The sequence below is a fragment of the Homo sapiens genome, chromosome 5 (assembly GCF_000001405.40).
Source record: "Homo sapiens chromosome 5, GRCh38.p14 Primary Assembly".
Taxonomy (NCBI): domain Eukaryota; kingdom Metazoa; phylum Chordata; class Mammalia; order Primates; family Hominidae; genus Homo; species Homo sapiens.
Window position 1 is genome coordinate 117,523,969 of NC_000005.10, and position 13,303 is coordinate 117,537,271.

General features: G+C 36.4%; 1 long non-coding RNA gene across 1 annotated transcript in view, besides 1 other annotated feature; it reads left to right on the forward strand.

Moving 5' to 3' along the window:
* Positions 1 to 13,303, forward strand: part of LINC00992 (long intergenic non-protein coding RNA 992) — a 164,233-nt gene that overhangs the window by 108,457 nt on the left and 42,473 nt on the right. The window lies entirely within an intron of this gene.
* Positions 8,869 to 9,385: an enhancer, noted in NCBI's record as "H3K27ac-H3K4me1 hESC enhancer chr5:116868532-116869048 (GRCh37/hg19 assembly coordinates)". NCBI's record gives its function as "activates a minimal SCP1, AML or CMV promoter by ChIP-STARR-seq in naive and primed H9 embryonic stem cells {active_cell/tissue: H9 hESC(naive and primed)}" and the evidence as "EXISTENCE:reporter gene assay evidence [ECO:0000049][PMID:30033119]".

A 13,303-nucleotide genomic window follows, 5' to 3' on the forward strand; every position in this document is an offset into this window, starting at 1 on the left:
AAAATAAAAGAGAAAAATCATATCTCAATAGATGTAGAAAAATTATTTGACAAAATCATGCCTATTCATGATCAAATAATTCAGCACATTAGGGATAGAAGGAAATTTTATAAACTTGTAAAAGTCATATATGAAAAGCCTCCATCTAGCATCATATTTTATGGTGAAATATCAAGAAATTTCTTTCTAAGATTGGGAATGAGACATGAATATCCATTTGTACAATTTTTACTCAATATTATTCTTGCAATAACATTTCTAAATATGATTTCTAAATAACAAATCTCATTTCTAAATCTGCATTAGTTCTCCAATGTAACTGCAACAAATTACCACAGATTAGTAGCTTAAAACAATACAAATTTATTCTCATAGTTTTGGACGTCAGAAGTCTAAAAAGAAGGTGTCAGCAGGGCCGTGTTCCTTCTGGAACCTTTGGAGGTTTTCTTTATGTTTCCAGCTTCTAATGGCTACCTGCATTCCTTGGTTCCCAGGTTCTCTCCATTTTCAAAGCACATCACTCTGACCTCTAGTTCTGTCACATATATATATATATTATTTGATCCTTCTACTTCCATTTTTTAACAAACTTATTCATTACATTGAACCTACATGAATAATTCAGAATAATTTTTCTAACTCAAAATTCTTAGCTTAATCACATCTGCAAAGTCTCATCTGCCACATAAGGTAATATATTTATAGGTCCCAGGAATTAGAATGTGAAGATCTTTGGGAAAGACTGTTATTCAGTCAAACTCAATAAACACCATGGAGGAAAAACCTATAGCTAGTATTACACTTAATGGTGAAATATTGAGCATTTTCACCATAAGAATGGGAATAAGACAAGGATGTTCAGTGTAGTTATCTCAAAGGTTTAGACATTACTTGGAAGCTTAGGCTCCCAGGTGAAATCAGTTAGGCTTCTTGTGACCCAGCTATATAAGTCATACCACATAATTTCTTCCACAGTCTATTGTTTATGCCAGTCCCAAGGAGAGGGGTTATTAATTCTATCTCTTAGGTGGGGATAGCAGAAATTTGTTACCATCTTTAATCTATCACATTTTCCATTCTCCTCAAATTGATTAATAGATTCACCATAATTTCAATAAAAATTACAACATACTGTTTTTTCTTTTGATAGAGATTAGCAGACTAATTCTAAAGCTCAAAATAGAAATGCAAAGGACCTAGGATTACTCAAATAATTCTGAAAAATAAGAACACACTTGGGAGATATACATTACCTTATTTCAATACTTAAATGAAAGTTGTAGTTCAAGACTATAAAGTATTTATGTGATGACAGAGTCCAGACCTGTGGATACATGGCATATTGATTTTCAAAAGTTATCCCTGTGATGAGGGATAATGGTATTATCAACAAGTGTTGCTGGAACAACTAGATATTTGATGAAAAAATATGAACCATGACCTCAGTTGAAACCATACATAGAAAAATAAAAAGTTATCATAGACCTAAATGCAAATCTACAAGTATAAAACTTGTTGAAGGAATCCTAGAAGATATCTTCATGATATTGAGATGGACAAAGATTATTAGATAGGATACAAAAAGCATGAAACATAAAAGGAAAGGTAGATTTGATTCATTAAAATAAAAAATATTTGACTCTTCAAATGACATTCTTGAGAAAATTAAATGATAAGCCACTTACATGGAGGTAATATTTGTAAGACATATATTTGACAAAGTTCTTGTATTTAGAATACAACTCAATAATAATAATAAAATAACACAATTAAAATAAATGGGCAAAATATTTTAATCAACACTTAAAAATGGATGACATATGAATGGAAAATAAGCACATACAAATATTTTCAAGATTTTATTCATCAAAGATATGCAAATTAAAACTACAATGAGATGATACTTCACAGACACTGGAGTAGCAAAAATTAAAAACTATTAGTGAGGCTGTTGATGAATAACTGCAAATCTCATAAATTACTGGAAAAGATGTAAAATGTTATAAACACTTTGGGAGACTCCTCGGTTGTTTCATGTAAACAGAGTCTTACCATTTGGCCCAGTCATTAATTTCTTTTCTAAAAATTTACCCCCCAAAATAACAACCTATATCCACCAAGATGATTGTGTGCAAATGTTTATACTGGCTTTACTCATATTATCACAAACTGGAAACAACCCAAATGTCTATCACTAAGTGAATCGATTAAATAGATTGTGGTATATTCATATAGTGGACTGCTACTTAACAATAAAACAAATTAACATGGGCAAAACAACATATATGACTCCCAAAAATATTATGCTGAACAAAGAAGTCACTCCCAGGAATGCACATTATGTATTTTTTTCACTTATATAAATTGCTAGAAAAATGCACCATGATAGAGCTTATTCTGGGCCATAAAGCAAGTCAGTAAATGGAACAGAATTACGGTCATACAAAAATATATTCTCCGACTTCAATGTAATTAAATTAAGAATAAACTATGATATCCAGGAAAACCCCCAAGTAACATAAAATCAAATAACACTTTTAAATAGTTGATGGCTCAAAAACAAAATCACAAGGGAAGTGGAAAATATTATCAACTGAATCATAATGAAAATACAATATATTGAAATCTGCTGGATGCAGTTAAAGCCGTCCTTAGAGAGAAATTTACAGGTTTACGTGCTTATATTAGAAAAGAAGAAAGTTCTCAAATTAATGATCTCTGTTTTTACCTTAAAAAGTCAAAAGAAGAATGACAAGGAAAAGAGAAGAAAGAAGGAGACAAAGACGAGGAGCAACAAAAACTCTCAATGTAAATAGAAAAAAAGATTCAATGAAGACAGCAAAAATCAACAGAATAGAAAACAGAATGTTGAGAAAATTAATGAAACCGTAAGTTTTTTTTAATTACCACAAAAAGATGAACTAAAACTAGATGGATCAATAGCAAAAGAAGGATATCAAATTATCAATATCAGGAGGAAAAATAGGCTATCAGTAAAATCTGTGGATTTAAAATGATAAAAAGGGGATATTATGAACAACTTTATGCCAACAACTTTAATGACTTAGAGGAAGTGGATAATTTTCTGTAAAAATACAATCTTCTAGAACTGATAAAGATAAAACAAAAAATAAGAATAACCCAATATCTACAAAGAAATTGAATTTGTTACTAAAAACCTTTCCACATAAAACCTGTACATGAATGTTCATATCAACTGTACTTATAATTCCTCAAAGCTAGAACAAAGCCAGATATGCATCAATGTGAGAATAAACACATTGTGTAATACTTATATAACTAAATAATACTTAGAACTAAAAATAAAGGACCTATGGATACAATATTAATATTAAAAAATTACTCAAAAGATTATATACTGTTTACTCCATGTATGTAAAATTCTGGCATTAGTAAAATGGAATAGATGAATTGTTGCCTTGAAGATGAGTGGCAGCAGAGAATGTCTCTGATGGGATCCGAGGAATTTCCTGGGGTTATAGTAATGTTTAATAATGTGAAAAAATTGGGATTATATAGGCATATGCATCTATCAAAGTTCAGTAAACACACACTTACCTTTGTATAACTCATATATTAATTTTATTTTTTTATAATTTTATTTATTTATTTATTTTTTATTATACTTTAAGTTTTAGGGTACATGTGCACATTGTGCAGGTTAGTTACATAGGTATACATGTGCCATGCTGGTGCGCTGCACCCACTAACTCCTCATCCAGCATTAGATATATCTCCTAATGCTATCCCTCCCGCATCCCCCCACCCCACAACAGTCCCCAGAGTGTGATATTCCCCTTCCTGTGTCCATGTGATCTCATTGTTCAATTCCCACCTATGAGTGAGAATATGCGGTGTTTGGTTTTTTGTTCTTGCGGTAGTTTACTGAGAATGATGGTTTCCAGCTTCATCCATGTCCCTACAAAGGACATGAACTCATCATTTTTTATGGCTGCATAGTATTCCATGGTGTATATGTGCCACATTTTCTTAATCCAGTCTATCATTGTTGGACATTTGGGTTGGTTCCAAGTCTTTGCTATTGTGAATAATGCCGTAATAAACATAAGTGTGCATGTGTCTTTATAGCAGCATGATTTACAGTCCTTTGGGTATATACCCAGTAATGGGATGGCTGGGTCAAATGGTATTTCCAGTTCTAGATCCCTGAGGAATCACCACACTGACTTCCACAATGGTTGAACTAGTTTACAGTCCCACCAACAGTGTAAAAGTGTTCCTATTTCTCCACATCCTCTCCAGCACCTGTTGTTTCCTGACTTTTTAATGATTGCCATTCTAACTGGTGTGAGATGGTATCTCATTGTGGTTTTGATTTGCATTTCTCTGATGGCCAGTGATGATGAGCATTTTTTCATGTGTTTTTTGGCTGCATAAATGTCTTCTTTTGAGAAGTGTCTGTTCATGTCCTTCGTCCACTTTTTGATGGGGTTGTTTGTTTTTTTCTTGTAAATTTGTTTGAGTTCTTTGTAGATTCTGGATATTAGCCCTTTGTCAGATGAGTAGGTTGCGAAAATTTTCTCCCATTTTGTAGGTTGCCTGTTCACTCTGATGGTAGTTTATTTTGCTGTGCAGAAGCTCTTTAGTTTAATTAGACCCCATTTGTCAATTTTGGCTTTTATTGCCATTGCTTTTGGTGTTTTAGACATGAAGTCCTTGCCCATGCCTATGTCCTGAATGGTAATGCCTAGGTTTTCTTCTAGGGTTTTTATGGTTTTAGGTCTAACGTTTAAGTCTTTAATCCATCTTGAATTGATTTTTGTATAAGGTGTAAGGAAGGGATCCAGTTTCAGCTTTCTACATATGGCTAGCCAGTTTTCCCAGCACCATTTATTAAATAGGGAATCCTTTCCCCATTGCTTGTTTTACTCAGGTTTGTCAAAGATCAGATAGTTGTAGATATGCGGCGTTATTTCTGAGGGCTCTGTTCTGTTCCATTGATCTATATCTCTGTTTTGGTACCAGTACCATGCTGTTTTGGTTACTGTAGCCTTGTAGTATAGTTTGAAGTCAGGTAGTGTGATGCCTCCAGCTTTGTTCTTTTGGCTTAGGATTGACTTGGCGGTGCGGGCTCTTTTTTGGTTCCATATGAAGTTTAAAGTAGTTTTTTCCAGTTCTGTGAAGAAAGTCATTGGTAGCTTGATGGGGATGGCATTGAATCTGTAAATTACCTTGGGCAGTATGGCCATTTTCACGATATTGATTCTTCCTACCCATGAGCATGGAATGTTCTTCCATTTGTTTGTATCCTCTTTTATTTCCTTGAGCAGTGGTTTGTAGTTCTCCTTGAAGAGGTCCTTCACATCCCTTGTAAGTTGGATTCCTAGGTATTTTATTCTCTTTGAAGCAATTGTGAATGGGAGTTCACTCATGATTTGGCTCTCTGTTTGTCTGTTGTTGGTGTATAAGAATGCTTGTGATTTTTGTACATTGATTTTGTATCCTGAGACTTTGCTGAAGTTGCTTATCAGCTTAAGGAAATTTTGGGCTGAGACACTGGGGTTTTCTAGATAAACAATCATGTCATCTGCAAACAGGGATAATTTGACTTCCTCTTTTCCTAATTGAATACCCTTTATTTCCTTCTCCTGCCTCATTGCCCTGGCCAGAACTTCCAACACTTTGTTGAATAGGAGTGGTGAGAGAGGGCATCCCTGTCTTGTGCCAGTTTTCAAAGGGAATGCTTCCAGTTTTTGCCCATTCAGTATGATATTGGCTGTGGGTTTGTCATAGATAGCTGTTATTATTTTGAAATACGTCCCATCAATACCTAATTTATTGAGAGTTTTTAGCATGAAGGGTTATTGAATTTTGTCAAAGGCTTTTTCTGCATCTATTGAGATAATCATGTGGTTTTTGTCTTTGGCTCTGTTTATATGCTGGATTACATTTACTGATTTGCGTATATTGAACCAGCCTTGCATCCCAGGGATGAAGCCCACTTGTTCATGGTGGATAAGCTTTTTGATGTGCTGCTGGATTCGTTTTGCCAGTGTTTTATTGAGGATTTTTGCATCAATGTTCATCAAGGATATTGGTCTAAAATTCTCTTTTTTTGTTGTGTCTGGGCCAGGCTTTGGTATCAGAATGATGCTGGCCTCATAAAATGAGTTAGGGAGGATTCCCTCTTTTTCTGTTGATTGGAATAGTTTCAGAAGGAATGGTACTAGTTCCTCCTTGTACCTCTGGTAGAATTTGGCTGTGAATCCATGCGGTCCTGGACTCTTTTTGGTTGGTAAGCTATTGATTATTGCCACAATTTCAGCTCCTGTTATTGGTCTATTCAGAGATTCAACTTCTTCCTGGTTTAGTCTTGGGAGAGTGTATGTGTCCAGGAATTTATCCATTTCTTCTCGATTTTCTAGTTTATTTGCGTAGAGGTGTTTGTAGTATTCTCTGATGGTAGTTTATATTTCTGTGGGATCGGTGATGATATCCCCTTTATCATTTTTATTGCGTCTATTTGAGTCATCTCTTTTTTTTCTTTATTAGTCTTGCTAGCGGTCTATCAATTTTGTTGATCCTTTCAAAAAACCAGCTTCTGGATTCATTAATTTTTTGAAGGGTTTTTTGTGTCTCTATTTCCTTCAGTTCTGCTCTGATTTTAGTTATTTCTTGCCTTCTGCTAGCTTTTGAATGTGTTTGCTCTTGCTTTTCTAGTTCTTTTAATTGTGATGTTAGGGTGTCAATTTTGGATCTTTCCTGCTTTCTCTTGTGGGCATTTAGTGCTATAAATTTCCCTCTACACACTTCTTTGAATGTGTCCCAGAGATTCTGGTATGTTGTGTCTTTGTTCTCGTTGGTTTCAAAGAATATCTTTATTTCTGCCTTCATTTCATTATGTACCCAGTAGTCATTCAGGAGCAGGTTGTTCAGTTTCCATGTAGTTGAGCGGTTTTGAGTGAGATTCTTAATCCTGAGTTCTAGTTTGATTGCACTGTGGTCTGAGAGATAGTTTGTTATAATTTGTGTTCTTTTACATTTGCTGAGGAGAGCTTTACTTCCCAGTATGTGGTCAATTTTGGAATAGGTGTGGTGTGGTGCTGAAAAAAATGTATATTCTGTTGATTTGGGGTGGAGAGTTCTGTAGATGTCTATTAGGTCCGCTTGTTGCAGAGCTGAGTTCAATTCCTGGGTATCCTTGTTGACTTTCTGTCTCGTTGATCTGTCTAATGTTGACAGTGGGGTGTTAAAGTCTCCCATTATTAATGTGTGGGAGTCTAAGTCTCTTTGTAGGTCACTCAGGACTTGCTTTATGAATCTTGGTGCTCCTGTTATGGGTGCATATATATTTAGGATAGTTAGCTCTTCTTGTTGAATTGATCCCTTTACCATTATGTAATGGCCTTCTTTGTCTCTTTTGATCTTTGTTGGTTTAAAGTCTGTTTTATCAGAGACTAGGATTGCAACCCCTGCCTTTTTTTGTTTTCCATTGGCTTGGTAGATCTTCCTCCATCCTTTTATTTTGAGCCTATGTGTGTCTCTGCACGTGAGATGGGTTTCCTGAATACAGCACACTGATGGGTCTTGACTCTTTATCCAATTTGCCAGTCTGTGTCTTTTAATTGGAGCATTTAGTCCATTTACATTTAAAGTCAATATTGTTATGTGTGAATTTGATCCTGTCATTATGATGTTAGCTGGTTATTTTGCTCGTTAGTTGATGCAGTTTCTTCCTAGTTTCGATGGTCTTTACATTTTGGCATGATTTTGCAGTGGCTGGTACCTGTTGTTCCTTTCCATGTTTAGTGCTTCCTTCAGGAGCTCTTGTAAGGCAGGCCTGATGGTGACAAAATCTCTCAGCATTTGCTTGTCTGTAAAGTATTTTATTTCTCCTTCACTTATGAAGCTTAGTTTGGCTGGATATGAAATTCTGGGTTGAAAATTCTTTTCTTTAAGAATGTTGAATATTGGCCCCCACTCTCTTCTGGCTTGTAGGGTTTCTGCCGAGAGATCCGCTGTTAGTCTGATGGGCTTCCCTTTGAGGGTAACCCGACCTTTCTGTCTGGCTGCCCTTAACATTTTTTTCTTCATTTCAACTTTGGTGAATCTGACAATTATGTGTCTTGGAGTTGCTCTTCTCGAGGAGTATCTTAGTGGCGTTCTCTGTATTTCCTGAATCTGAACGTTGGCCTGTCTTGCTAGATTGGGGAAGTTCTCCTGGATAATATCCTGCAGAGTGTTTTCCAACTTGGTTCCATTCTCCCCGTCACTTTCAGGTACACCAATCAGACGTAGATTTGGTCTTTTCACATAGTACCATGTTTCTTGGAGGCTTTGCTCATTTCTTTTTATTCTTTTTTCTCTAAACTTCCCTTCTCGCTTCATTTCATTCATTTCATCTTCCATCGCTGATACCCTTTCTTCCAGTTGATCACATCAGCTCCTGAGGCTTCTGCATTCTTCACGTAGTTCTCGAGCCTTGGTTTTCAGCTCCATCAGCTCCTTTAAGCACTTCTCTGTGTTAGTTATTCTAGTTATACATTCTTCTAAATTTTTTTCAAAGTTTTCAACTTCTTTGCCTTTGGTTTGAATGTCCTCCCGTAGCTCAGAGTAATTTGATTGTCTGAACCCTTCTTCTCTCAGCTCGTCAAAGTCATTCTCCATCCAGCTTTGTTCCGTTGCTGGTGAGGAACTGCGTTCCTTTGGGGGAGGAGAGGCGCTCTGCTTTTTAGAGTTTCCAGTTTTTCTGTTCTGTTTTTTCCCCATCTTTCTGGTTTTATCTACTTTTGGTCTTTGATGATGGTGATGTACAGGTGGGTTTTTGGTGTGGATGTCCTTTCTGTTTGTTAGTTTTCCTTCTAACAGACAGGACCCTCAGCTGCAGGTCTGTTGGAATACCCTGCCGCTTGTGAGGTGTCAGTGTGCCCCTGCTGGGGGGTGCCTCCCAGTTAGGCTGCTCGGGGGTCAGGGGTCAGGGACCCACTTGAGGAGGCAATCTGCCCGTTCTCAGATCTCCAGCTGCGTGCTGGGAGAACCACTGCTGTCTTCAAAGCTGTCAGACAGGGACATTTAAGTCTGCAGAGGTTACTGCTGTCTTTTTGTTTGTCTGTGCCCTGCCCCCAGAGGTGGAGCCTACAGAGGCAGGCAGGCCTCCTTGAGCTGTGGTGGGCTCCACCCAGTTCCAGATTCTGGGCTGCTTTGTTTACCTAATCAAGCCTGGGCAATGGCGGGCGCCCCTCCCCCAGCCTCGCTGCAGCCTTGCAGTTCGATCTCAGACTGCTGTGCTAGCAATCAGCGAGACTCCGTGGGTGTAGGACCCTCCGAGCCAGGTGCGGGATATAATCTCGTGGTGCGCCGTTTTTTATGCCCGTTGGAAAAGCGCAGTATTCGTGTGGGAGTGACCCGATTTTCCAGGTGCTGTCCGTTACCCCTTTCTTTGACTCAGAAAGGGAACTCCCTGACCCCTTGCGCTTCCGAAGTGAGGCAATGCCTCGCCCTGCTTCGGCTCGCGCACGGTGCGCCCACCCACTGACCTGTGCCCACTGTCTGGCACTCCCTATTGAGATGAACCCGGTACCTCAGCTGGAAATGCAGAAATCACCCGTTTTCTGCGTCGCTCACTCTGGGAGCTGTAGACCGGAGCTGTTCCTATTCGGCCATCTTGGCTCCTCCAGCAATTTTATTTTTTAAAAAAACTCTTCAAGTACTGAACTTTTATTATTGATGTGCATACTGAAATATTTAGGGGAAATTAATGCCTGCAATTTACATCGTATGGACAAGGGAGATGATATATGAATACGTATGTAATAACATGAGTTTAGTAAAATGTTAATATAGAACCTAGATTGTGTGAATGTAAGAGTTCACTATACAAATCTTCCAACATGACTGTATATGTGCTTGTGTGTGTGTATGTTGTGTGTGTTTGTGTGTATACCAATGTGTTGGTTAACAACATGGATATGTTCTGAGAAATATATCGTTAGGTGATTTCACCACTGTGTGAACACCATAGAGTGTACTTACACAAACCTATGTGGTATAGTCTACTAGACACCCAGGCTATACAGTAATATTGTCTATTGCAGCTAGGCTTTTCCAACTGTCTATTGTAATGGTATGTTACCGCATTAAATACTGTAGGCAATTGTAACATAATTGTAAGTATTTGTGTATCTACACATAGAAAAGTTGTAGTAATATGATTGAAAAAATAAAAAATGATACACCTGTATAGGGTACTTACCAGGAACAGAGACTGCAGATCTAAAGTTCCTCTAGGTGAGTCGGTGAGTGTGAATGGGAAGGCCTAGGATATTACTGTATATTACTGTAAACTTATTTATAAACACTGTAAACTTAGGCTACACTAAATTTATTTTTAAAATATTTTCTCTTCCACAATAAATAAATAGCTTACTGTAACTTTTCTAATTTATAAACTTAATTTTTTAACTTATGGATTCATTTGAAATGAAGCTTAAAACACAGACACATTGAACAGCTGTACAAAAATATTTTCTTATTCTATAAACCTTTTTGTATTTTTATTTTTTAAATTTTTATTACTTTTCACTTTCTAAATTGGTTTGCTGTAACTAAGACACACATACATAAGCATAGGCCTGCACAGGGTCAGGATCATCAAGATATCGCTAGACAACAGAAATCTGTTAGCTCCATTATGTTATGGGAGCATCATCATATATGCAGTTCATTACTGATGGAAACATTATGTGGCGCGTGACGGTGTATATATATATTTGCTTTCACATTAACTAACAGACTTTAGAGAAGTGTTTGCATCCCTAGGAAACATTACCTTTGAAGTTCTCTTTTCCCATCAGAGAATCAAGAGTAATAATATGAGATAACATCTTAGGTTTTTAGTCTTCTGCTACTCCTGATTTAACTAGGCACAGTCAAAATATCTTCAGTACAGCAATGCAATTCAATAGGAAAATACGGCTTTTCTTTATCTCTTCTTGTCAATTACAACACATAGCTTTATATTTGTGGTAGATTTTCTTCAAGAAACTGTGTTTTATTTCTTGGTGATTTACACTAGCAATTATGTTAGAGGACTGGGGCTGGAGATGCTAAATTTCTTGGATGCAGAATTAAGTCAAAGATGAAATGGAAGCCAATCTCAATAAATAGCATAATTTGTCATGTACGAATGAATTACCTTATGCCAAAAAAATCCTTTTCTAATTTGATATTGCTTTGCCTTTGAAACTTTCATTTCTTGCCATTACTTTTTTTGGCATATTCCATATTCTCACTATAAATAGCATATATCATCTTTTAATTCAACAGTATTTACATTTATCAGGTCTTTTAGTGCTACATGTTTGTAACTTTAAATATGATCACATCAAAAAAATAGAAGACAGAAGAAAGAAAAAGAAATTACTAAATTACACAGTACCCTGAATGCTAATTTCAGGGAGTATCCAACAGATTAAAAATGTCAAACCGGTAACATTGTGTTAGTGGGATTTTCTTTAACAATGATACTGATTTTTTTTTTTTTTGCTTTAACAACATAACAGATTCTATCTCAGGCACTGGGACTTGCGAAAATTTAAGAATACAGAATGATAGGATTGAGAAAAGGAAGACAAACTGGTCAGAGGAAAAATGAAGAATCACAGGCTGGAAAGAAATAATAGATATGAAGATGCAGGTTGATAGAAAGGCTTAAAAATGAATAAAAGATTAATATAAGGTAAAGTAAATGAAGAAATTTCTTTAGATGCTGAATTTTTTTTACAATTTGGATGGCAATTACGATAGTAACAATACACAAAATAGTAATCCATTTTTTTCTTTAAGTTTTCCCTAGCTCCAGTATTTAGGAGATCCCCATTTGATGGTATTCAAGTGAATTAAGCACATTTGTTTAGCTTCAAGGAAAATAGACTCCTAGTGTGAAAAAGAAAGAGGTTTTCCAGTAAATGATTTTAATAAGTAGAAGGTAATACAAAGTAAAGACGCTTGAACGATTAAAATACATAAAAGTGTGATAGTGAAATGCATTGCTATTTTCTAGTTCCTATTTTCTGTGGGCCAGGCGCAGTGGCTCACGCCTATAATGCCAGCACTTTGGGAGGCCGAGGCAGGTGGATCACCTGAGGTCAGGAGTTTGAGACCAGCCTGACCAACATGGAGAAACCTCACCTCTACTAAAAATACAAAATTAGCCGGGCGTGATGAAGCATTCCTGTAATCCCAGCTACTCTGGAGGCTGAGGCAGGAGAATCTCTTGAACCCGGGAGGCGGAGAATCGCACGCCATTGCACTCCAGCTGGGCAAGAAAAGCGAAACTCCGTCTCAAAAAAAAAAAAAAAAGAAAAAGAAAAGAAAAGAAAAAGAAAAGAAAAGAAAAAGAAAAGATTTGTGTGTGTGTCTGTGTGTGTGTGTGTGTGTGTGAGTGAAAGCAGATATATGATCAATCTTTAAAAATTGCCTATGTTGGGAAATGGGAAACTTGTGCATCAGCTTTCTCACAGGAGAAGACCAAGTGATGATGGTCTATTGATGTTAGTACATTAAAAATTATATTGTAGTTTTTTTTTAAAATACAACTTTAGCTTCTATTATTTAAAATTGTTTACAAACAAGTAACCAGTCTTTCTCTGTTGCATCTCTGTCAAGTTTCCCTCTCTATTTGTTCCTTTTTAGACTCAATTCCCAGTTCCAGCCCTTAGGATTGCTCGCTCTACTTTTCCATGTTTACTTCTTCCAGATCTTTTCCTCATTTGCATGAATCGGCACTAAAATAAAAATAAACAAAATGTATGACATCTTGTCTATAGACTTGTGCATGTGTGCTTGAGCCTGAGTATGTTTATGAAGGGAGGAAGCATGGAGAAGGGAACAAGAAAAGATGGTGTTAAAAAAAATGTCATGATATTGCTGCAAGTTCTTATTACAAGTGACAGAGGAGTTACTGACAATGGAATAAGAAAAAGACAAAAAAAGAGAAAAAAATAATGTTTTCATTTCTTGATGAAGGGGAAATTCTCACCTTCAGAAAAGGTGATCTGGAGATTTTGGGTCAATATTCATATAAAATAAAATTTTGGGACACTGGATTCTACATTAGAAGCAGAAGAACAATTATAATTGTGTAACAAAGATAGAAAGGGACTCTAAGAAAATAAACTGAAATAAACTAGGCAAGTGCTGACTAGTGATTTTAAGTAAAGATGAGAATAACATGACTTATCAATTGCTAAAGGACAAAGACAGGTGGGTGAACATAGAAGTAGGATCTATACAAAGGAAGAAGGGAGCCTTGGGAAAGTAT